The sequence below is a fragment of the Homo sapiens genome, chromosome 4, assembly GCF_000001405.40.
Source record: "Homo sapiens chromosome 4, GRCh38.p14 Primary Assembly".
NCBI lineage: Eukaryota > Metazoa > Chordata > Mammalia > Primates > Hominidae > Homo > Homo sapiens.
The window spans coordinates 40331544-40355920 of record NC_000004.12 but is presented as its reverse complement, the minus strand read 5'-3'; the positions used below and the strand labels follow the sequence as shown (position 1 = coordinate 40355920).

General features: G+C 43.2%; 1 protein-coding gene across 1 annotated transcript; it reads right to left on the bottom strand.

Annotated features, from left to right (window-relative positions):
- Positions 1–703: 703 nt before the first annotated feature.
- Positions 704–20588, bottom strand: CHRNA9 (cholinergic receptor nicotinic alpha 9 subunit). Its single transcript, NM_017581.4, has 5 exons — positions 20390–20588; positions 19949–20094; positions 18557–18711; positions 6507–7039; positions 704–1942 (listed from the first exon to the last, which is right to left on the bottom strand). The coding sequence occupies exons 1-5, from the start codon at positions 20451–20453 to the stop codon at positions 1401–1403; spliced, it is 1440 nt and encodes a 479-aa protein (NP_060051.2). The 5' UTR covers positions 20454–20588; the 3' UTR covers positions 704–1400.
- Positions 20589–24377: the final 3789 nt, after the last annotated feature.

The following is a 24377-nucleotide window of genomic DNA, read 5'->3' as shown; positions in this document are numbered from 1 at the left end:
TTAGCCGGGTGTGGTGGCACACGCCTGTAGTCCCAGCTACTAGGGAGGCTGAAGCAAGATAATTGCTTAAACCTGGGAGGCAGAGATTGCAGTGAGCCAAGATCGTGCCACTGCACTCCAGCCTGGGTGACAGAGTGAGACTCCCTCTCAAACAAACAAACAAAACAAAAAAACAGGATTATAGATGTAAGCCACTGCACCCAGCCTTGGATCATTTTAATCTAGGTGGGAATGGGGGGTGAATTTGAAGTCACATTTTATTGAAAGTAGGAAAGAAGTTGAGACATACAGGAAGTAAATTAGGGCAGAAAGTTCAGAATTAAGAATAAGAATCTCTCAGTCTCTCCTGTGCTAAATCATAATTTGTCATGGCCAAAAGCAGGGTGACTTTAGCAGATGTAGCCCAACTCTGAGTCCCAGTGCTGAGGGGTGAGTCCCAGTTCCACTTACACCGTGTTGGATGTTGAGGAGGCAGGTCACTTACATCCTCCTTTTAAGCCACGGTTTCTTTCTCTGAGAAAGAATAGTAACGCTCGCCTTCCCAACTCACAGAGTTGTTGTGAGGATCAAAGTGATCAGGCTTGTGCATAAGAATTGCTGTGACACCCCATGCAAATGTGAATCATATTGCTTTTATTACATGCAGGAAAAAACGTGATCCATGTTTGGTGAAAAGTTCAATGAATGAATGGATGAGCCCAGCTTGCTAATCACCTTATTTTAATACAAGACTAAATGCAGGAACAGCTTCATCTATCATATTTTAATCAAAGGGTAAATGCAGGAATGACTTCATCTTTTGGGTTTATATAAAACATAACCAACATATACGACATCACCATTATGAAGAAAGTTCTTTTCCCCATTAAACAGCTGATGCTTAGACTTTCTTTACATGGGACAAAACCTTTTATTCCACTATTTGAGATATGACTTCAAATGCACTATGCCTGAATAAGGTACCATTGAGACTTAAATCACACTAATATATATATGACTATTTCATTTTTCAAATGCATATTTTAATGGGAACTAAGGGGAAAATGAGTTTGTTTTGTTTTGCCTTTTTTGTTTTAAATTTTACCAGTAAAGTGTATTTTGTTATCTGTACTGCCAAAGAGGTAAATAATTATATAAACTAGAGGCCAGTCACCCACCACTACGGTGGGCTATAAAAGGGCTCTTTCCCTATTTCTTCCATCTTCCTACCCTTGAAATTTTGGTTCTTCTGCTTAATTTAACAGAGCAGATAGCTTCGACATTCATTTGAAGCTAAAAATAAAAAGCACAGACAACATAACCCCTAAATTATAGATGAACAAAAATCTTGGAAGAACATTGGAATAGATCACAGGGAATTGTATTAATTTCTACCCAGATAGCAAAGCCAATATCTGTGACTAATCCGCTCTTGCTATGATCAAAATAGTCATCACAAACACCATAATGAAAAAAATCCACATGAAGAATCGGTCTATGACTTTCGCCACCTTCTTCCATTCACTCCCCTTGGAATTGGTGGCCTTGTGGTCTTTGAGGCACTTGGCGATGTACTCAATATTCCTCGTCAGCACTTTGTACTGTGCACAGTAACTCTCGGCCTCCTGAGGGTTCTTACCCTGGCAGCCCAGGTCGTTCTTTAAGCGTTTGTTCATGTCCTTCTTTCTGGAAAGGTCTTTGTTCCTGGCTGCTTTCAGGTTAGACTCTGGGAGTTTGCTATAAACTTTCGTGAGGTGGTCCCGCTCTCTACTGTGGTGCGGGCTGAGGCAGCTTTCACCCACATCATAGACAAACAAGACCCTGGACATGTATTTCAGGATGACCACCCTGGCCCAGTGTGGCACCGGCCGGGCCTCGGCCCCACAGAAGTGGATATTCATCACCATGATGGTCAACGCAGTGGAGGCTGTGATCAGGGCCATCGTGGCTATGTAGTATTTACCTGGAATTAAAATAACAACCGTAACTGAATTTGCTTTAAAATGGTCCTCATACAGCCACGAGTCACTTAACAACAGGGATACATTCTGAGAAAGGTATTAGTCATTAGGTGATTTTGCTGTTGTGTGAACATCATAAGAGTGTATGTACACAAACCTAAATGGTCTAGCCTTCTATACACCTAGGTTGAATGGTGTAGCCTGTTGCTTCTAGGCTACAAACCTGTGCAGCATGTTACTGTATTGAATACCGCAGGCAATTGTACACATGATTATCAAACGGTCAATATTTGTGTATCTAAACATAGAAAAGATAAAGTAAAAATTGACATTATAATCTTATGGGACCATTGTTGTATACACGGTCTGTCATTTACCAAAACATTGTTATGAGGCACATGACTGTGTTTGGCTTAAAAAGAAACAAACACCCTTTCTAAGGAGGTGTTATACCCTAGTGGTTAATAGTATAGACTTTTTTTTTTTTTTTGAGACAGAGTCTCGCTCTGTCACCCACACTGGAGTGCAGTGGTGCAATCTCAGCTCACTGCAACCTCTGGCTCCCAGGTTCAAGTGATTCTCCTGCCTCAGCCTCCCAAGTAGCTGGGATTACAGGCGCCCACCACTACGCCCGGCTAATTTTTGTATTTTTAGTAGAGAGGGGGTTTCGCCATCTTGGCCAGGCTGGTCTCGAACTCCTGAACTTGAGAGATCTGCCTACCCCGGCCTCTCAAAATGCTAGAATTACAGGCGTGAGCCACCGCGCCGGGCTATAGTATAGACTTTTGAATCTGACTTCCTGGATTCAAATCCCAGCTTTATCACTCCCTAGACTTTCAGCCTTCAGCAAGGCATATAATCCTGGACTTTCGGCCTTCAGCAAGGCATATAATCCTGCTAAGCCTCAGTTTCCTACTCTGTAAAGTGGTGGGTGTAATAATAATATCTAACTCGCAGGAATATGAGGAGGCGTAATTGAGATGATACATGTGAAGTTCTCAGCACTGTTCCTGGCTCGAAATTAAAAAGTTTGGAAATGTTTGCTGAGATCATGAGGTGAAAAATTTTTCCACACTCAACGAACAAACAATTAATGAACTTGACCAGTTCTCAGAATTGTCTTCAGACCTCATTAATATGAAAGCCAATTCTATTAGGTAAGAAAGGAGACTGTATCACTATTAGTCTTCAAAATGTGATTATATAAAGCACATGTTGATGAAAAAGTGAAATTAAGGAAGGAAACAATTAAGATAAGGCTACAAATTTATGAAATATAGAACAAAAAGCCAAGAAGATGAATAAAACCAAAAGCAAACTTTTGAAAAGAGTAATAAAATTGATAAACTTTTGATAAGACCACTTACAGGATAGAGAGAGAAATAGAGAAAGGGAAAGAGAGAGAGAGAAGATGGAAAAGACTTATAAAATAGTACAATATTATAAATAACTGTATAGTCGGGCACGGTGGCTCACACCTGTAATCCCAGCACTTTGGGAGGCCGAGGTGGGTGGATCACTTGAGGTCAGGAGTTGGAGACCAGCCTGGCCAACATGGTGAAACCCCGTCTCTACTAAAAATATAAAAAACATTAGCTGGGTGTATTGGCACGTGCCTGTAATCCCAGCTACTCAGGAGGCTGAGGCAGGAGAATCACTTGAATCCAGGAGTCGGAGGTTGCAGTGAGCTGAGATTACACCACTGCACTCCAGTCTGGGCAACAGAGCTAGACTATGTCTTAAAAAATAAAAATAGCTGTATAATAACATATTTGATAATCTAGATGAAACTGCTGGAAAAATGTTAGATGTCAAAATTAGTGCAAGAATAAAGAACACTTTAATAGAAATGGGAATCAATCAAATACCATCCCCCTACCAAATGTTCCAGGCCCAAAAATAATTTATAGGTGAGTTTTACCAAACTTTCAAGAAACAAATAGTTCCCATCTTATGCAACTTGTTCCAGAAATAGAAAAAGAGGGAAAACTGTCCAGTTCATTTTGTGAAGTCAATTTGACCTTGATTCCAAAAGTGACAAGAAAAGAAATATTAAAGCCATTTCACTAATCGACATATTTGAGAAAGCTCTACAAAATATTAGCTAACTGAATCCAACAGTGTCTTAAAAGGATAATGTATCATAAGAAAGGAGTTTGGTCCAGTTATACAAAAGAGTTCAACATCAGAAAACTTATTGATGTAATTCACGACATTGACGAGTAAAAGAAAACTCACATGATTATCTTAATAGATGAAGACAAAGTATTTGATAATGTTTATCATCTTTTTTATTTGTCTGAGTTAATATATGAGACCTTTCTTAAAATGGTAAAGGCCATGGGCCAGAAACCGATATCAAGGGCTACATTTGATGCAGAAAACTTAAACATATTTCTATAATATTGTGAGCACACTCCATGGGTGCTATGAATAACAAATTTTAATTGTTAAATAAATGTTCTCAAGAGATCTGTGGGCACTTTTCCTAAAAAGATAAATTTCAGCCAGTTGCGGTGGCTCACACCTGTAATCCCAGCACTTTGGGAGGCTGAGGTGGGAGGATCACTTGAGCCCAGGAGTTCAAGACCAGCCTAGCCAACATAGTGAGACCCTATCTTTCTTATTTTTTTTCAATTTTTTTTTTTTGAGACGAAGTCTCACACTGTCCCCCAGGTTGGAGTGCAGTGGTGCAATCTTGGCTCACTGCAACCTTCACTTCCTGGGTTCAAGTGATTCTCCTGTCTCAGCCTCCCAAGTAGCTGGGATTACAGGCACGCACCACCATGCCCAGCTAATTCTTTTTATAGAGATGGGGTCTCACCATGTTGGCCAGGCTGGTCTTGAACTCCTGACCTCAGGTGATCTGCCTGCCTCAGCCTCCCAAAGTGCTAGGATTACAGGCGTGAGCTACCAAGCCCGGCCTTCATTTTTAAATAATAAAAATAAATTAAAATAAAATTTAAAAATACAAATTTAATTTAATTTTTAAAAGATAAATTTCATATTATCATAAAAACAGAACAAGCAATTCCTGTGAGACATCTGCCTTTAGAAATTGTGCCAGCTTGCTGTATAATGTCACTACCCAAGAAGAGAGTGGGACCGCCCCATGATCTTTCCTCAAACAGGGCTATGATTGGATGTCATCACTGCCAATCATTTCTGCCTCAGGAGAGGTAATAAAATGCCAATACATCTCCTTTTTATTAGAGGTGGAAAAGCCTTCTGTGTTTAATTCTGAAAAAGAGAGGTGTGTGTGTGTGTGTGTGTGTGTGTGTGTGTGTATTTTGCAAAGAGAGACATAAAAAGGAAGATATCTCCAAATGGAGAAGCCACTGTAGTATCATCTCAATATTGGGTAACTGGACTCAGTAAAGAGTAAAAGGGCAAGGCAACATCTCCTGATATTGGACTCTAAGTTCGTTGGTGTTCTAAAATTTCTCCTTGTTGCTTACTTTAAGGAACTCAAACTTAGATCTAGCTTGATTCTGGTAAGCATCTGTTACAACAGCAACTCCTCGAGATGGAGGTGTTGGATCTCAAGGGTATCCTTGGAGGCAGAAAGTAGATGTTAAAGGGGATAGGAAAGCCCTCAGAACAAGCTAGGCAAGGATAGGGGAGGCAGGGGTGGTACCCTCAGTCTGCACTCCAACCCTTGGAGGGATATTTCATTATTGCAGATTTTTGAAAATGTAGTCTGCTTTGGAATCACCTCAGATTCCCAAATCTCGGCCAAGTTGCTAAATCAAACTCTCTGGGTGTAGGAACTTGCATTTTAATACACTCTCCCACTGCTATTATACCCAGTGAAGATGAGATTTTTCTGTTAAGGGTAGATGTCAGGCTTAAAAAGCACATCTTTCTGCCATGTTTGCCACTCTTCCCAAGAAGAAAGCCCTTGTCACGTGAAATGATAACAGTAGTCACTGTTTACTCAGTACTTACCATATGCCAGGGTGTGCACTAAGCAATGACACAGAAGGAAGCAATCACACAAATTTTCCAGATGATGAAGCAGAGACTAAGAGAACAAGTAACTTGCCTGTTTGATCAAGGAGTGAGCAGTGAAGTCAGCGTTCAAATGCAAGTTTCTTTGACTTCAAAATCAGGTCTTAACCTCTGGGTCAGTGGATTTCAGACTTCAACAGAAAATGCATCAGAATCACCCATAAGCCTTGTTAAAACAGGATGCCAGGGCCTTATCTCCAGAATGTCTGATTCAGTAGGCTTCCGGTGGGCCCTGAGGTTTTGTGTTTCTATAAGTTCCCAGGGGATGCCGATGCTGTGCATCTGGGGACCACCACTTTGAGAACTACTGCTCTAAAGTATAATGTCTTTCATTGCTCTTTCGTGTAAACCCAGAGACCATAAGACCAGTTTTGATTGCAAAAGGCTCATCTATATTGAAAGATGCTAACTGCAACCACCAGAAAAATTTGAGACAGTCTGTATTGAGTCGAAATTGGCTCCATTTTTTCAAGTTTAAAGGCACACACACAACCTTAAAGGCATGACCCCAGGCACTACAAAGCTGGGCTTGAAGTGGAAGACACTTGGACTCACCTATCAGGGGCACATTTTCTGAGGCCGGCATGATTTCTGCCACCATTAGCTGAAATACAGTCATGGCCAACAGGATGGTCACTCCCAGGGAGACCTTTTCTCCGGAGGCTGCTGGGAGATAAAAACTCAGAGGAGCCAGAAAAGATATGAGGACGCATGGGATGAGGAGGTTGACGATATAGAACGAGGACCTCCTCTTCAGAAGGAGGGTGAATGTGACATCCGGGTAAGGCTCAGAGCAGCAGCCATAGGAGATCACATTCTTCACAGCGGGCATGCCATGGACCTCCCATTCCACATCTTCAATGAAGTCAGAGAGATCTCCGCTGTCCAAGGCGTTGAATATGTCCACCTGATTGCCATTGTAGGTCCAGGAACCAAAAGTCAGGTTGCACTGCTGGTTGTCAAAAGGGAAGTAGGTGACATCCACCACACAGGAGCTTTTGGTGATGGCCGGTGCATCCCAGGTGATCAGCCCATCATACCGCAGGACCACATTGGTGTTCACAGGCTCTGAAGATTCATCATCAGCCCTGAAGGTCAGATAAGGAAAATGAAAGCCGCATGCTAGGAGAACTTGCCACCTTCCTTACCCCAGACAGCTCACTGTCCCCATCACTTCAGTGTTTTGGCAATGGACCACCATTTTGCCTGTCACTGTGGCTCGGAAGTCTGGAATCAACTCTAATTTGTCCTTCTCCTCCATCTCCTGTAACTAGTCAGGGCCAAGTTCTCTTGGATTCTTCCTTTAAAGCATCTCTTCTCTCTGTCCCTTCCTGTCCATTCCCAGTGTCACTTTCTTGGTCCAGGTGTAATGATTTGAACACGCAGACAAAAAGTAAGCCTGTCGATACTAAAATCTGCTTACTTGATTTGTTAACTTTAGGCACTAGAATATTAAAATAATATATTCTAAAAATAAAGGCCTGGGGTCATGCCTTTAAGCAATAACTTTATTGCTATTATAAAAGTTGTACATGTTTATTTGTAACATTTGGAAAACTCAGAGAAAAAAAGTTGTTCACCCATAACTTTAGAGATAGTCACTTATTCCAGATATATCTTCTTTTGCTTTATCAATATTTATGCCTTGTATTTTGGGGTACAGAATTTCTATTTTTCTCTAGGGAATTACTCTTTCTCCCGTTACTTCCTCCTTCTCCCATTACTTCCTCTCCCATTGCAAGGCAGAGGAAGTGTTGGTCAAGGTGCCCCAGTGTCCCTGGCCAAAGGCCGGCTGGGTGGCCCAGGCTTGGTCCAACAGATTCACCCTCTCCAGAGTTTAGATCTTAAGCAGAGTGATCCAGAGACCAAAAGCATCACCCTAGTGATGGCTGAAAAAAAACAGACAGTCCCTCCTGCCTTGAACACTAGAGCAGCCTTGGTTCTGTCCTTTCCAAGAGCTGGTTGTTTACTTTTTCCTTTAATTCAATGAGATGTGCCACATCCTTCTAACAAATTCCTATTTCACAAGGTTGCCAAAGTCAGTTTCTGATGCTTACAACCAAAGAGCCTTAATTGGTACATTTCTGTTAACATTTGGATGCATATTTTTGAAGTCTTCCTTACAAGTTTTTCCCCGAAAAGTATATTTTGGCTAAATATAATGTGGTATTCTGGATTGGATCCTGGAACAGAAAAAGTACATTCATGGAAAAGCTGGTGAAATCTTAATAAAGTAGTTTAGTCAATAACATTGTATTAATTTTGGTAAGTATATTATGGTTACGTAAGAGGTAACATTAGGGGAAACTGGGTGAAGGGTATAAGGGAATTCTGCACTATCTTTGCAACTTTTCTATAAATCTAAAAATTATCCCCAAATTTAAAGTTAACTTGCAAAAAAATAAAAGGGAAAAAAAAGATGAGACAAAATTTTTAAAAATACGTGGTCATTTGTTCATACTCTTCTACAACATTCTTTTCATGTCTAAATAGCATTCTATTATAGTCCATTATATTAGATACACCATAGTTATTTAACCAATCTACTGAGGCTTCACATTATGGTTGGTTCCAGTTTTTGTATTTATAAGCAATGCTGCAGTGGACATCTCTGTAGCTGAGTCTTTACATTTATCCACTGACCCTTTCCTTAAGTTAAATTGCTGAAAAAGGATGTGCTGGGTCAGAACAGGCATGTTTTTGAAGGGAGGTAAGGGATAAAAAAACTACATATTGGGCACAGTGTACACTACTCGGTGACAAGCACACTACAATCTCAGATTTCACCACTATACAATTCATCCATGTAACTAAAAAAGACTTGTACCTCAAAAGCTATTAAAATAAAAAATATATTGGCTGGGTGTGGTGGCTCACACCTGTAATCCCAGCACTTTGGGAGGCCGAGGTGGGTAGATCACTTGAGGCCAGGAGTCCGAGACCTGCCTGACTGACATGGCAAAACCCCATCTCTACTAAAAAAATACAAAAATTAGCCAGGCGTGGTGGCGCGCACCTGTAGTCCCAGCTACTCGGGAGGCTGAGGCAAGAGAATCACTTGAACTCAGGAGGCAGAGGTTGTAGTGAGTTGAGATCACACCACTGCACTCCAGCCTGGGTGACAGAGTGAGACTCCATCTCAACAACAACAACAAAAAAATAAAATAAAATAATATATGTCTATATATATTTTTTAAAGAACAGGCATGTTTTTAAGGTTTTTATTGTTTCCACTCATTAGAAATGGGTGCCACAATATTAACTTTAATGGTCTGACTGAGTTCACTCCATACCCAAGAGGATCTTTAATGTGAGTGTTCGCGAAGATAACAAAATGAATTTTTTGAAAATGCCTGAAGCTTCCTCCTGTAACCGTGAGAAATGTGTACAGTTAGCTATCTGAGAAGTGAGAATTAGACGTGAACTGAGAACACTGCTCACCCATCCTACTTCCTTGGTGCAAGAGAGATCTGGGGATCAGAGAGAATCTGTTTGGGGCTAGGACATTTGCACTGGGCATGATCCCTGTAGGAAATAGATGGCCTACTCCAATTAGATAACCTGAGGAGAGTTTAAGAAAGGGACTGTTCATAAAGATATGGAAACAATGCAGAGAAACCATTCCTGGACATGAAGAGGTGAGGAGAAAGTGCAGTTACCAGAACCTGGAAGGAAAGATTTGCATGAAGTAGGTCACCATGATAGGAGTGATGACTTTCTTTCAGGGCACACATCCAGCCGAAGATAACCTCCCAGGAAGACAGCGAGGGAATACACATGCTAACCTCACTCTCTCTTTTCCCTGCAATTGCCCACTGGTGCTCCACATTGGCCAAACCCAACCCCAAGCCAAAGGGCAAGGGAACCTGCTGACCAAAAACATCACCCCAGCTGCTTTGGAGTAGGTTGTGGGTTTTTGTTGTTGTTGTTGTTGTTGTTTGTTTGAGACGGAGTCTCACTCTTGTCACCCAGGCTGGAGTACAGTGGCGCCATGTCAGTTAACTGCAACCTCTGCCTCCTGGGTTCAAGCAATTCTCCTGCCTTAGCCTCCTGAGTAGCTGGGATTACAGGTGCCAGCCACCATGCCTGGCTAATTTTTGTACTTTTAGTAGAGACAGGGTTTTGCCATGTTGGCCAAGCTGGTCTTGAACTCCTGACCTCAGGTGATCCACCCGCCTCAGCCTCCCAGAGTGCTGGGATTACAGGTGTGAGCCACCGTGCCCAGCCATTTGTTTGTTTGTTTGTTTGTTTGTTTTTTGAGATGGAGTATCACCCTGTTGCCCAGGCTTTAGTGCAGTGGCACAATCTTGGTTCACTGCAACCTCCGCCTCTCAGGTTTAAGCAATTCTCCTGCCCCAGACTCCCGAGGTGCTGGAATTATAGGCACGCACCACCACGCCCAACTAATTTTTGTATTTTTAGTAGAAACAGTGTTTCACCATTTTTACCAGGCTGATCTCAAACTCCTGACCTCAGGTAATCTGCCTGCCTGGGTCTCCCAAAGTTCTGGGATCACAGGTGTGAGCCACCACGCCGGCCTTGAGTAATTTAAATACATTATATTAAAAATATATTTTTTTTGTAGAGACCATGCCTCACTATGTTGCCAAGGCTGATCTTGAGCTCCTGGCCTCATACGATCCTCCTACCTTGGCTTCCCAAAGTGCTGGGATTACCAGTACAAGCCACCGCGCCCAGCCAAGACATTATTATTTAATCACTTCATGACCAATATCTTATTGTTTATCTCCCTAGATTTTTGATCATAACACAGCTCAAAACTTGCAGTGGCTTCCTATAGCCCAAACAATACTTCTGCACCTCCGCAGTTTAGTGTTCTAGATATTCCATGATCTATTCCCACCTCACTTTCTAGCTGTGTGCCTTCTGCTGGTCTCCTTCACTCCCACTCCACCAATCAAGGCTGAAATCCCAACAAACCCTGTGAGTTTCTCTTACTCAAACTCTTTCTTCAACTCATAATAGTCCCCCTTTTCTGCATGTAGCAGTATAACACATCCTTCAAGACTCTGCTCAGAGGCGACCTCTGTGAAGCCTTCCCTGCCTCTCCAGTCAGATATCTTTCCATCCTTAAAGGGCCACAGCACTTCACTTCTGTGTTATAAGGGACTTGCATTTTTACCTTGCACTATAGTTTTTACATATATAGCTTATTAGATTGTTCCTTGAGGTCAGAGACTGGGTCTTAAAATTCTTATTTACTTCTCATAAAAATATCATGGAGATTTGAGTTCAGAACCTGATTCAAGTTTCATAACCTTAGGTGGGTTATATCTCTGTCACTCACCTGTAAAAATGGGCATTATAATACCTTAAGGCTTCTTTTTATATTAAACAAACTATATATATTAATTTCTATTGCTGCTGTAGCAAACTACCAAAAACCTAAATCTAATGTCTTTTTTTTTTTTTCTTGAGATGGCATTTCACTCTGCTGCCCAGGCTGGGGTGCAGTGGTGCCATCTTGGCTCACTGAAACCTCCGTCTCCTGGATTCAAGCAATTCTCCTGCTTCAGCCTCCCGAGTAGCTGGGATTACAGGCTCCCACCACCATATCTGGCTAATTTTTTTGTATTTTTAGTAGAGACGGGAATCTTGCCATGTTGGCCAGGCTGGTCTCAAACTCCTGACCTCAAGTGATCCACCCACCTCAACCTCCCAAAGTGCTGGGATTACAGGCACGAGCCACCGTGCCCAGCCCCTAATGTCTTAAAACAACATAAATTTAGTGTCTTAACAATTCTAGAGGTCAGAAATCCTAAAACCAATGTGAGCAGGGCTGCATTCCTTCTGGAGACTCCAGGGGAAGATCTGTTGCCTTTCCTTTTCCACCTTCTAGAAGCCACCTGCATCCCATGACTCAGGGCCCCTTCTTTGCATCACTAACCTCTGCTTCCTTTGTGGTATCGCCTATTCTGGCCATCTCATCTCCCTCTTACAAGGACCCCTGTGTTTACATTAGGCCCACCAGGATAATCTCCCCCATCTCAAATCTTTAATTCAATCATACCTGCAAAGTCTCTTTTGCCATGTAAGATAAATCTTCACAGGTCTTGGGGATTAGGATGTGGACATCTTTAAGGGGGGCATTATTCTATCTATCACACTTTGTAAAGCCCCAGCTCCATGCAGACACATAGTAAGTGGCCAATATGTATTAATTTCTTCCCCTTCCCTCTGTTTCTAACTGTGTTTTCTTGTTCTCAACTAAAACATGAAAAAATTACAGGGACAAAATGTAAGCCGGAGGTTGGGAAGGCATGTTTAATAATATAACCCTCACGGAATATTTAAATTGCTTTCCTCTTACCTTCCCTTTCCTCAGCCACTCAGTGGCCTTCAGGCAGTGATATGGTTTGGCTGTGTCCCCACCCAAATCTCATCTCGAAGTGTAGCTCACATAATTCCCACATGTTGCAGGAGGGACGTGGTGGGAGGTAATTGAATCATGGGGGCGGGTTTTTTCTGTGCTGATCTTGTGATAGTGAATAAATCTCATGAGATCTGATGGTTTTATAAAGGGGAGTTCCCCTGCACATTCTCTCTTGCCTGCCACCATGTAAGATGTGACTTTGCTCCTCATTTGCCTTCAGCCATGATTGTGAGGCCTCCCCAGCCATGTGAACTGTGAGTCCATTAAACCTCATTCCTTTATAAATTACCCAGTCTTGGGTATGTCTTTATTAGCAACATGAAAACAGACCAATACAGGCAGCCCCCTCTCCTCTTCTGTATCTGATCAAAGACTGAGCTAACTTTAGTTGTTTTGCAATTGAGCGAAAATGACTTTCCCAGCCTTGGCTGTAAGAAGCCCATTCCTGGGAACTGGAGAGGAGCAGGCTGGTAAATGAGGGAGCAGGGAGAGTCGCCCAGTGTTTTCAGTCCCCAGAGTGCCTGGAACCTCAGCGTAGACTTGTCTGTTTACTCAGTCCCAGGATCCCTTCCTCGTTCCATCTCCAATGTCTCTTTCACATATTCACTTTTCCTTCCTTTCCATATCAAAAAGAAGTTCCCCCCTCTCTCTTCCTGGCTAACTTCCCTTCTGGTCGTGTGAGTCCTCTCCTCCCATGCCTCCTTCAGGATTTTGCCTCCCTTGGTCCCTCTTCTTCTCTCTGGCCCCTCTAGCCACTTTCCAACTCTGTTCGCAAGTCTCTCCTGCCAAACTCCTTTTCTCCCTGGCCCTTCTACCTCTCTCATCTCCTTCCACACACTGCTTTCAAAAGTAACTGATACCTGCTATTGTCCCGTTTCCTCTTGCTTTTATTTCCTGACTCCTGCTTTTTGATGTCTTTCCGACAAGTACAACTAGGCAAATCTCAAGACTTCTCCTAAGTCTTCATCTTCTTCAACTCTTCCCAAACATTGGGATTATGGCTTATTCCTAGACATCCTCTCTTCCCTTGGTTTTCATGACATGACTCTCTTGCTTCTCCTTCTATCTCTTTAACTACTAATTCTAAGTTTCCTCTGTAAATTCCTTAAATGTAGAGGTTTTTTCAACTTTATTCTCAGCCATTTTCTTTCCTTCCATGAGTAGTTCTATAGGACTTTAAGGGCTTTTGGCATCTCTATTAGCCCTATCTGTTTCTCCAGGTTTCAGATTTGCCTTTGCAATCTCACTATTGGACATTTCCATGAGGATGTTTCTTTGGTTCCCCAAACTGAACATCAAATTCATCCTCTTTTTTTCCAAACCTGTTTCTCCTCGCCCTCCTTTATTTCCAGTCTCTTCTGGAAGTCTTGCCATTCTCTAAATCATCTTATATGGCTAAAGATAGATACATAAGCTGGCCTTAAAGCTAAATTCTAGACAAATTCTTTTGAATACAATAGGGCACCCAGTTCCTCACCAGGTCTAAAATCCAACCATTAAAACTGCTCATTAAAATCCAACCACTGGGGCCAGGCATGGTGGCTCATGCCTGTAATCCCAGCACTTTAGAAGGCCAAGGCAGGAGGATTGCTTGAGCCCAGGAATTCAAGACCAGCCTAGGCAACAGGCAATATAGTGAGACCTCATCTCTATAAAAAGGTTTGTAAAAATTAGCTGGGTGTGGTAGTGCATACCTGTAGTCCCAGCTACTCAGGAGACTGAAGTGAGAGGATCACTTTGTTACACATGGAGGGTCTTGACTACAGGTCGTCCACGTTCTTGACATTTTGAACAAAGAATTGGACAAAATGCACAAATAAAGCAATGAAAGTACAGAACAATGAAAGAAACAATAAATGCTCAGATTTATTGAAACGAAACCACACTCCACAGAGTGGGTATGGGCTCGAGTAGGCAGCTTAAGACCACCAGTTACAAAATCTTCTGGGGTTTAAGTACCCTCTAGACGTTTCCCATTGGTTGCGCCCTATGTAAATAAAAACTTGGCCCACAACCAATTGGAGGCTGAAGTGAAGTTATACCCTATGCAAATGAAGATGTGACCTACAACCAATCAGAGGCTGAAGTGAAGTTACACCTCATGCAATGAAGACTTGGTCTGTGACGAGTTGGAAGCTGAAGTGAAGGCTCCCTGTCTCCAGACCCTACTGAGGAGAATACTCTCTCAACTTGAGTCCAGGAGGTCAAGGCTGCAGTAAGCTACGATCACACCAGGGCACTCTAGCCTAGGTGACAGAGCAAACTACCGCCACCACCCCCGCCAAAAAACAAAAAAAAAAACCTGACCATGAAAACCCTGCCATAATGAATTCAAATTTAAAATTTCTGTAATCTGCATTTTACCTAATCTAAAAATGTCAGGAATCCTTGTAGCCTCTTATACCAGCCACTATACTAACCATATACTAATACTAAACATTCCTGCCAGAACTTTGAGCCCCAATTCATTTATTTCTCTACTGATTTACTGAAAGAGCCAGTATCTACTTGAACTGTTACATTGCTAAAAAGCTCACTATTTCTTGGGACAATTCATTGCCGAAGTTATTAGGGAAATGTTCTTTTTTTTTTTTTTTTTTTTGGAGAGCTTATCTTCCCTTTGGCTTCTACTGATTATCTCGGGTTTTGTCTTCTGGAACGTTGTTTGTTCTCTTTTTTCTACCTTACTTTCTCTCTGATTACCTAAGGTAACCATCATCAAGTCTTCAAGGTCTTCTCTCTTCCAAACTAAGCATCAGCAAATTCAACTGTTCTGTGAAGTGGCATCCAGGCCCATCTCCTTCCTGATCACTCCCTAACCAGTCTAGCCCCATGGATTTGGGCACCAATGGTGACTCTAGATGCTAAGCATCTTCCTGCCTGAGTGTCTTTATCACACTGGACTGACTCACCTACCCCCTAACCCTATTTCTCCTTCTTGCCACAACTCAGGAAGCCCATTGTGTTGCCTATGATGTTCTGTACCTGCTTCTGAGAAGCAATGATATTGTATCTGGCATCAGAAGATTCTACAGAGTCAGGGATTCAGCAAGAAGGACTGAGCTCAGGGAAATAGCCATGACTAAGGGCCCTTCTTTGCCTGATCCTGCAACACTCTTCCATTTTCATTTCAATTTGTTAAAGGCATGAAGATGTCATCCAACCATAGCTCCATTTAGAGGTTCCTCTACACAGCAAAACTCTGAGAAGTTTTACTGAGAAGGAGAAGGCAAAAGAGAAGAGAGGAGCAGAAACAGAATTGTCCATGACAAGAGCACAGAGATGACTAAAGAGTCAACCAGAGGAACAAAAAGGAGATGATGAATCAGTGTGGTGAAAGGCTCTGTGTAAAGGGGTGGAGAGTGGGGAAGGGACAATGTGGACAGAACCAGCCAAAGCCACACTAGGCTTGTGTGAACTCATGAGTACATAACTGGCTTCTCTAATAAGGGAGCAGTGGGGTCAGCTTAACTTAGGATGCCTTGTAAGCTTGCAAAGAAGCATTTCAGTAAGACAAGGTCACCACCTCAGCCTATCAAAACAGGAGGGAGAGGGGGACCACCGTTCTGTTTGACTTCTGGAGAGAATTTTTAGAACTTACAGAATGCTGGCCGGGCACAGCAGCTCATGCCTGTAATCCCAGCACTTTGGGAGGCTGAGCTGGGTGGATCACTTGAGCCCAGGAGTTCGAAACCAGCCTGGGCAACATGATGAGACTCTGTCTCTACTAAAAATTAAAAAAAACAATAACTAGGCATGGTGGCATGCACCTGTAGTCCCAGCTACTCAGGAGGCAGAGGTGGGAGAATAACCTGAGCCCGGGAAGTTGAGGCTGTAGTGAGCCATGATCACACCACTGCACTCTAGCGTGGGCGATAGGAGTGAGACCCCGCCTTTTTTTTTTTTTTTTTTTGAGATAGAGTCTAGCTCTGTCACCCAGGCTGGACTGGAGCGCGATCTCGGCTCACTGCAAGCTCCGCCTCCCGGGTTCACGGCATTCTCCTGCCTCAGCCTCCTGGTGCCTGCCACCATACCCAGCTAATTTTTTTGTATTTTTAGTAGAGACGGGGTTTCACCATGTTAGCCAGGATGGTCTCGATCTCCTGACCTCATGATCCGCCCCCCTCGGCCTCCCAAGGTGCTGGGATTACAGGCGTGAGCCACCATGCCTGGCCCCCAGACCCTGTCTTAAAATTAAAAAAAAAAGAACTTACAGAATTCTGTAAGAGATCATCTGTGTCAATGAAATTATCTTTCTTTTTCTTTTTTCTTTCTTTTTTTTTTTTTTTTTTTTTTGAGATGGAGTCTCGCTCTTGTCGCCCAGGCTGGAGTGCAGTGGTGCAATCTTGGCTCACTGCAACCCCTGCCTCCCGGGTTTAAGTGAGTTTCCTGCCTCAGCCTCCCAAGTAGCTGGGATTACAGGCGCCCGCCACCACACCCAGCTGATTTTTTGTATTTTTAATAAAGACCGGATTTCACCATGTTAGCAAGGCTGTTCTCGAACTCCTGACCTCAGGCGATCCACCTGCCTTGGCCTCCCAAAGTGCTGGGATTACAGGGGTTAGTCCTCACGCCCTGCCTGTGTCAATGAAATTATCAGATATTACTCTCCTGCACTCTGCAGACGAGAGTGTGGTAATGGACAATGTGGTTTGTTTTCTTGCTCTGTGTGTGTGTGTGTGTGAGAGAGAGAGGGAGAGAGAGAGACAGAGAGAGAGAGAGACAGAGACAGAGACAGAGAGAGCGAGCACGGGGAGGGAGGGTAAACTGGAGGAATAAAGCCCAGTATTTGAATGTTATCTTCCTGTTATATTCCTTGGGAAGGAATACAGATGATTCCTCTGGCCACTCAGAGTTGGGAATGGACAGAAAAACAGGGCTATGATTCCAGAGCTCATGACCCTTAGATGAGCTCTCTGAGTAAGGAGTGAGACTAAAATCCAGGCTGCAACCCACCCGTGCTGCTTCCTTAAAGGAAATCCATGCCCACTGGAAGCCTCCACCCAGGGGAGCCCCCTGAGCTGCCCCTCATTCACATAGGTCTGAGCCACAGAGGAACTCTTCCCACTCCACAGAAACTTGGGTTCCAGAATAAAAACAGAGAGAAGCTCTTTCAACAACAGGCGGGGCCACTGAGCTTGAACTGTGACCAGAGATCTGGTATTTTTCTCAAAATGCAGCCCATGGACCCACAGTGCCCACGTCTTCCGGAGCTTGTAGAAATGCAGAATCACAGGCCCGCCCCACACCCATGGAATCACAATCTGTATTTTAACAAACTCCCTGGGCGATTCATATGCACCTTACAGCTTGCGAAACATAAACTTTACCTACCCGTTATACAATGCCCCTTGCTCTGAGACCGGGAAAACGTCACTTTGTATCCCGTAAACTGGTTCATCCTCCACTCCACACAAAGCCCCAAATCCACAGGTCAGTTTCTAGATGGCCCATTCCGGTTTAATTAATTATTGATACATGATCTTGGATGGTGAGTGTCACTGTTAAGAGTTGAATTGTGTCCCTGAAAAATTCACATATTGAAGTCTTAGCCCCCAACACTCAGAATGTGACTTGATTTGAGAATAGTATCATGAAGATGTAATTAGTTAGGTTAAGATGAAGTCACGCTGGAGTAGGGTGGACATCTAATCCAATATGGCTGGTGTCCTTATAGAAAGGGGAAATTTGGACACAGGGAACACACAGGAGAATGCCATGTGAAGATGAAGGCAGAGCTCAGAGTGACGCTTCTATAATGCCAAGAACACCAAAGACTGCCAGCAAACCACCATTAGCTAGAAGAGAGGCCTGGTACAGATCCTCCCTCACAGCCCTCAGAGGAAACCACGCTGTCAACCCCTTCATCTCAGGCATCTCAACTCCAGAACTGTGAGATAACACATTTTTGTTAAGTCATCTAATCTGTGCTACTCTGTTATGGCAAAGTTAGCCCTAGCAAACTAATGCAGCCTCCACTTTCCCACCTGAAAAAGGGGCATGTAGATGGATGGTTTCTTTCCAGCTCTAAGCTTTTATGACATATTATTTCCTGATCTAAGATTCTATGTCTCTTATTTCAGTAAGTCCTAGGAACATGGATTAATATTTAATTTCATGCATGTTTTAAACATTCCTTTTTCATTATGTTTAAATTCTATGAAATCAACACGTTCATGCCTGAAAAGCCTCAGTTCTGAGCTGCACTTACTTGTTATATAAGACGATGTCTGGCCTCCACACGAGGTCACTGGGGATCCTGATGGAGTCTAGGCCATCGTACTGATCTCGGTCCCACGTGAGATAGGCATCGTGCCAGATTTGGCGGATCCACAAATAAGCAGTCAGAATTTGGTTTCTTTCATCCTACACAATGAATCCAGATGTCGCTTTACCTAGCAGACACTTGAAATGTTTTCCACTGATAGGACACTTGTTCTTCACAATAGGAATTTCACAAACACTCATCAAATTTCAATAAGTAAAGTGAGAGCTTTATTCTTTATTTATTCTATCCCCTTGATTGACTGCCAAGATCATATTTTTTTTCCTCCTAGATTTAGTGTTCAGAATGTAAAGTGGACAAATATTTTAGTATTGATATCTTTGCATAGATCAACTGCCTATATTTCCTGAAAATTGATCAATGAATGATGTACTTGAAAGCAAAAGTCAGGAAATAACAATGTGCAGAAGGAAAATCTTTCAAGTTTCATAACATTGTGTAATTAAACATAGATAAGCACTAATAAGCTATGCCATCTTAAAACACTACCTTTTTTAAAAAATTGAGATTGGCCGGGCGCGGTGGCTCATGCCTGTAATCCCAGCACTTTGGGAGGCCGAGGCGGGCGAATCATGAGGTCAGGAGATTGAGACCATCCTGACTAACACGGTAAAACCCTGTCTCTACTAAAAATACAAAAAAAAAATTAGCCGGGTGTGGTGGCGGGTGCCTGTAGTCTCAGCTACTCAGGAGGCTGAGGCAGGAGAATGGTGTGAACCCAGGAGGCAGAGCTTACAGTGAGCGGAGATCATGCCACTGCACTCCAGCCTGGGTGACAGCAAGACTCCGTCTCAAAAAAAAAATTAAGATCAAATTCACATTAAAACTCACCATTTTAATCATTTTCGAAGGGAACAATGCACCGGCTTCCAATATATTCACAACGTTGTGCAACCATCACCACTGCCTAATTCAAGATCATTTCTTCCCCCCGCAAAGAAACGCCGTAATCATTAAGAACTCACTGGCCGTTTTCCCCGTCCTCCCCACAGACCCCGGCAACCTCTATGCCGTTTTCTGTCTCTACGGATTTACCTCTTTTGGACATTTTATATAAATGGCTGCATACAGTATGTAACCCCATCTTTCTTTAGATTATCTAAGACTGTTACAGTTAATGACCAGGATTAGGTAACGTTTCTTGAAATTAATTAGTTTTGTAGAAAGCTTCCTTTTCCCGACATTCTCTTCTCCCACCAGCTTGCTTAAGGAGCTATCATTCCCTCTCAAATTCCCAGTTAAGACATTCTCTTCAGAAAGCATGGTTGTTTATCCTCTAAGAATCATTCCACAGAGTCAGCACCATGTGTTACTCACCATATCCTTAATCTGAGAGAGCGTAATCTGCAGGGTCACATTCAGGACTTTATCTGTATCTTCCACTGGACGAAGAGCATTAGAATAATCTTCAAAAAGGTCATTAAACAACTTCTGAGCATATTTTCCATCTGCCGTCTCTGCAGCTACTCAACAAGAGGGATCTGGATTAACATTCAGAGTGTTGTGTGTATTTCAAGACAAACAACACAAGACTGAGGTCTAAAATGGGGGATGGCCCAACACTGGCGAGGGACAAGCTTTGGGTGGATGGATGAGTTGTTTTTCTGGCATGCCCTACCAAGATCAGAGTCAGTAGGAAGCACAGAACACTTCCATGCGGTTGAATCATCTGTTTTGTCTTCCCTGTCCTGCCCCACCTCCCACCAAAGCAATAGCCCCAGATGAGACAAGATAGGTTACGTGTCACCAGCCTCTCACCTCTCAGTCTGGAAGCAGCAAAGTAGATCCAGCAAAAGGAGATGCAGGAATGGGACCAGTTCATCTTTTTCCTGAGCCTCTATAATAAAGTCTCAGTCAGGCAGCGTGGTCTTCCACTTCCCCCTATGAATACAAAGGATCTGGGCACAAGGAGCCCACACCGCTGCAGCCTTATGGCGGGAGAGCTCAGGCTTGCATTGCATGCAGGACCGAGATCCTGAGATCCAGGCCTGCCCTCCCTCCCCTCCGGTAATTTGAGACTGGCAGCTCCAGTGGCTGAGAAGCCGGGAACCCAGGGTGTGTTAGGTCCAACAGTGCTGTTGTGGGGGGCCATCTCAGTTGAGGGTCCCTAGCCACCCTCAGCAGAAACAACCAGACAGAAAAGGAGGTAGATGCAGGCAACAGGGGTATGCCTGACACCCCAGAGACTCCATCTAAGCAGAATGGGAGATTTCTACACCCACCATGAGCAGAGTCAGCCTGAGTCCAGGGACTAAGGGAAGCCTAAAAGACTGAGCCATGGGACGGCTGTCCAGAAAGACTCTACGTGCTTTTAGCAGCATTTGAAGAGGGAAAGAGACACGGTTCTATGATCTCCAGAATATATTGGCATTTTGGTTTTTTCTCTGCCTCAGCTTCTGATCCCTCCTGCAGCTGTCCCACTGGGCATGGATCTTGCATAGTAAATGTTTGTGAGTATATATGTGAGGGGGTGTGCTGGATGGGCGGATAATCACTCGCTTAAGAAGCAGCAACACTGTGAGTTGGATTTGGACTTGACCACCTGGGTTTGACTGCCAGCCAAACCCTGACGAGCTCTATTATTCTGTAAAAGTCACCTAACCTCTCTGAGCCTTCCAGAACTACAGACTGGGGAAAATAATATTTTCTCTCTCTAGAGCTACTGAGATAACTGTATGTGAAAGCACTTTCTAAATATCAGTAATTATCATCTTTGATCAGCTTTGCATACCCAGAATTTCTATACTCACCAAGTCACCCAGGATTTACCAGCTCGAAAAAAAAAAAGAAAAACTGGTTCAAAGGCTGACCAAATCAGCATGAGAATAATAACCAATGGTGATATTGCTAATGATGACACCCTTTGCATTTGAATGCTACTTCATATAAAGTTTCAGTCATTTCTCATATGTGATATAATTTTACTCCTATAAAAAAATGTCAATTTTCAATTGCTGCTTAGTCTGGAAACTCATGTCTGTCTCTCCTCTTGCCTGGGGAAACTGCTTTGGAAAACCATATTAAGATAATTTGGTTGCCTGGAATTGGAGCGAGGAAATTGGATAGCTCTGTTTCATCAGGTTACAGCCGCCTGATGAGTCACCCCATCCCTCTTCGGGAATGTATCCTCTGAGTGGAACAGACACTCAAGCCATCGGCAAAGTGTTTCTTAATTGCCTATCCCATTGTGTTGATTGTGAAGACATTATTTTTCTGACGCCCCTAGTCTGACTCATTCATCAAATGACACAATTCCGGGTGCCCACGCTCAGTCCTCCTTCAGCAAACCATCCGCTCCAGAATCTCAGAGGCAGAAGGTAATTTTGAAATTGAGTTTAATGCCTCACTTCTATATGAGGAAACTGAGGCCCAGGGATGCAGAGTGGCTTCCCTCCAGCAGTGATCGGCCAGAGACAGGATCCAGGCCACCTGCCCCAATCCACTGTGCTCCCTGCAACACTAACAATGCATCTCTTCCTTCTCGTTGTCTTTCATCAATATGGCTTTTGATGCCAGCTGGGTGGTGACTTCCTTGTGTGTAGAGGATCTTTACCTCATATGTCTTGGATTCCTTACAGCACTCACAGGGTTGAATTGTAGTTGACACAGGGCCTACCTTGAATGGTGTCCCTTCCCTTCCTATACCACTCCCCTCCCTTCAGGGTCCCTTCTCCCCTCAGGGGCCTCTTTTAGGTTGAAGCTGCTGAGAACCTTTGCCCATTGGGGTCCAGTGTCCTGGGGGGCATCCCTGACTCCATTCCAGGAGGATGATGGCAGTGCTCCCATTCCTTAGAATAGAGTCCTGTCTGACAAAGAATCCTAGTGAATTCTATGGCTAAAATATCCTCTGCCCAGCAGCAGAGTGGGGATGGGAAGAACAAATACCTTCATTCTGCTACATGTGTTTTTTAAAACAAAAATTACAAGAGTCAAACATCATGTTTTGCAAAGGATTTTTTCCCTGCAAATGAATATGGCATGAATATTTTCTCCATTTCATTAAGTACAGGATCAGAGCACTTCTAACCTGTAAAGAGCTCTTTGAGGACCATCTAGCTAAGGTCACTCATGTTACAGATAAAGAAACTGAGGACTAGAGAGGTCAGAAGCCTTCGCAAGGACATAACCCATCGTCCTGACTCAATACAGTGCTCCTTACACAACACCAGTTCATCTGGTGAGGAAGCTCAGAGGAAATCAAGGTCAAGTGTGCCTTTAGGAGGCTTGGGAATGCACTTCCTTTCAGCCAAGGGCAGGTGGGACTTCGATCTGCCCCACAGGAAGGTGGGTAAAGGATGCTGACTCTCCACCAAGAACCATGCCAGAGACCCTCAACCTCCCCAGGAGGCTGGGCTCTTCACAGAGGAGTGCTGTCCTAGGCACTCAGAGCCATGACGCATGCTAACCAATGCTTCACAACTCACTGAAATGGCAGGAGATACCTCAATGGGATGCCATCCCCAAGGACCTATTTCACTTCTACTTTCTAAATTTGCTGGATTTATCCTAGATATGTGTCTTGAAAAACAAACAAACAAAACAAACAAACAAAAAAACCCCCTCAAAGCTCCTTTAAAAGACAGCTACATGAATTCCTTCACCTTGCACCAGAGTTTAGGATAAGATTGGTAGTTAGGACGCAAAGTCATGCCAAAAGGGCTGCCCATGGCACCACTCTCCAAACATTTTAGGGTTTACTTCTGTCTTTGTTTTCTATTTCTTCTTCTTTTTTTTTTTTTTTTGAGATTGAGTCTTGCTCTGTTGCCCAGGCTGGAATGCAGTGGCGTGATCTCAGCTCACTGCAACCTCCACGTCCTGGGTTCAAGCAATTCTGTGCCTCAGCCTCCCAAGTAGCTGGTATTACAGGCACCTGCCATCACGCCCGGCTTTTTTTTTTTTTTTTTTTTTTTTTTTTTTGTATTTTTAGTAGAGATGGGGTTTCACCATCTTGGCCAGGCTGGTCTTGAACTCCTGACCTCGTGATTCACCTGCCTCAGCCTTCCAAAGTGCTGGGATTACAGGTGAGTCACCATGCCCAGCCACTTCGTATTCTTGATCAAAAGCAGTATAATGTAGAGTTTAAGAGCACAGACCCTGGAGTTGAACTGCTTGGATTCAAGTCCAACCCCACCACTTACTAGCTGTGTAAGCTCAGCCAGATTATTCGACCTCAGTTTCTTCATCTATAAAATGGGGACAATTATAAATAGTGCCTACCTCTTGGGGTTGTTTTGAGGACTGAATCAGTTAATGCATGTGGAACCCTAAAAATAGTGCTTGACCATAAAATTGCTGGATAAATGATCATTAAAGGGGAAAATGACATGCTAAGCATGTCATTTGTAGCTCAATGCCACTATTTGTTTATTTATATATTTATTTATTTAATTTATTTATTTTTCCTCCCCTCTTCCTCTCCCCCTTCCATCTCTCTCCCTCACCCAATCTCTCTCCCAACTTCTTGACAGACCTGGTTAGAGGATAATTGTTTTATGTGACAAGCAATTTGTACTGTGGGTGGAAGAATATCAGTCCTACTATTTTCTTGTTGTCCTTTTTTATTGTGATGTTAATATTATTGTCAGTCCACCGTGGATTTATTTATTTACTTACTTATTTCTGCAGTAGTCTTTTTAATCCTCTTATCCATTTTGTGAGAGTTACACAATCTAACTCCGTCACAGAGATTGGCAAACTCTCTGCAAAGAGCTAGATAGTAAATATTTTCATCTTGGCAGGCCATATG

Coding starts and splice junctions, on each gene's coding strand:
- CHRNA9 (NM_017581.4), bottom strand. CDS start 20,453: ATGAACTGGTCCCATTCCTGCATCTCCTTTTGCTGGATCTACTTTGCT. Junction 20,095..20,389: donor TGCTGCTTCCAGACTGAGAG/GTGAGAGGCTGG, acceptor CTTGTTGAGTAG/CTGCAGAGACGGCAGATGGA. Junction 7,040..18,556: donor GACATCGTCTTATATAACAA/GTAAGTGCAGCT, acceptor TCTGACCTTCAG/GGCTGATGATGAATCTTCAG.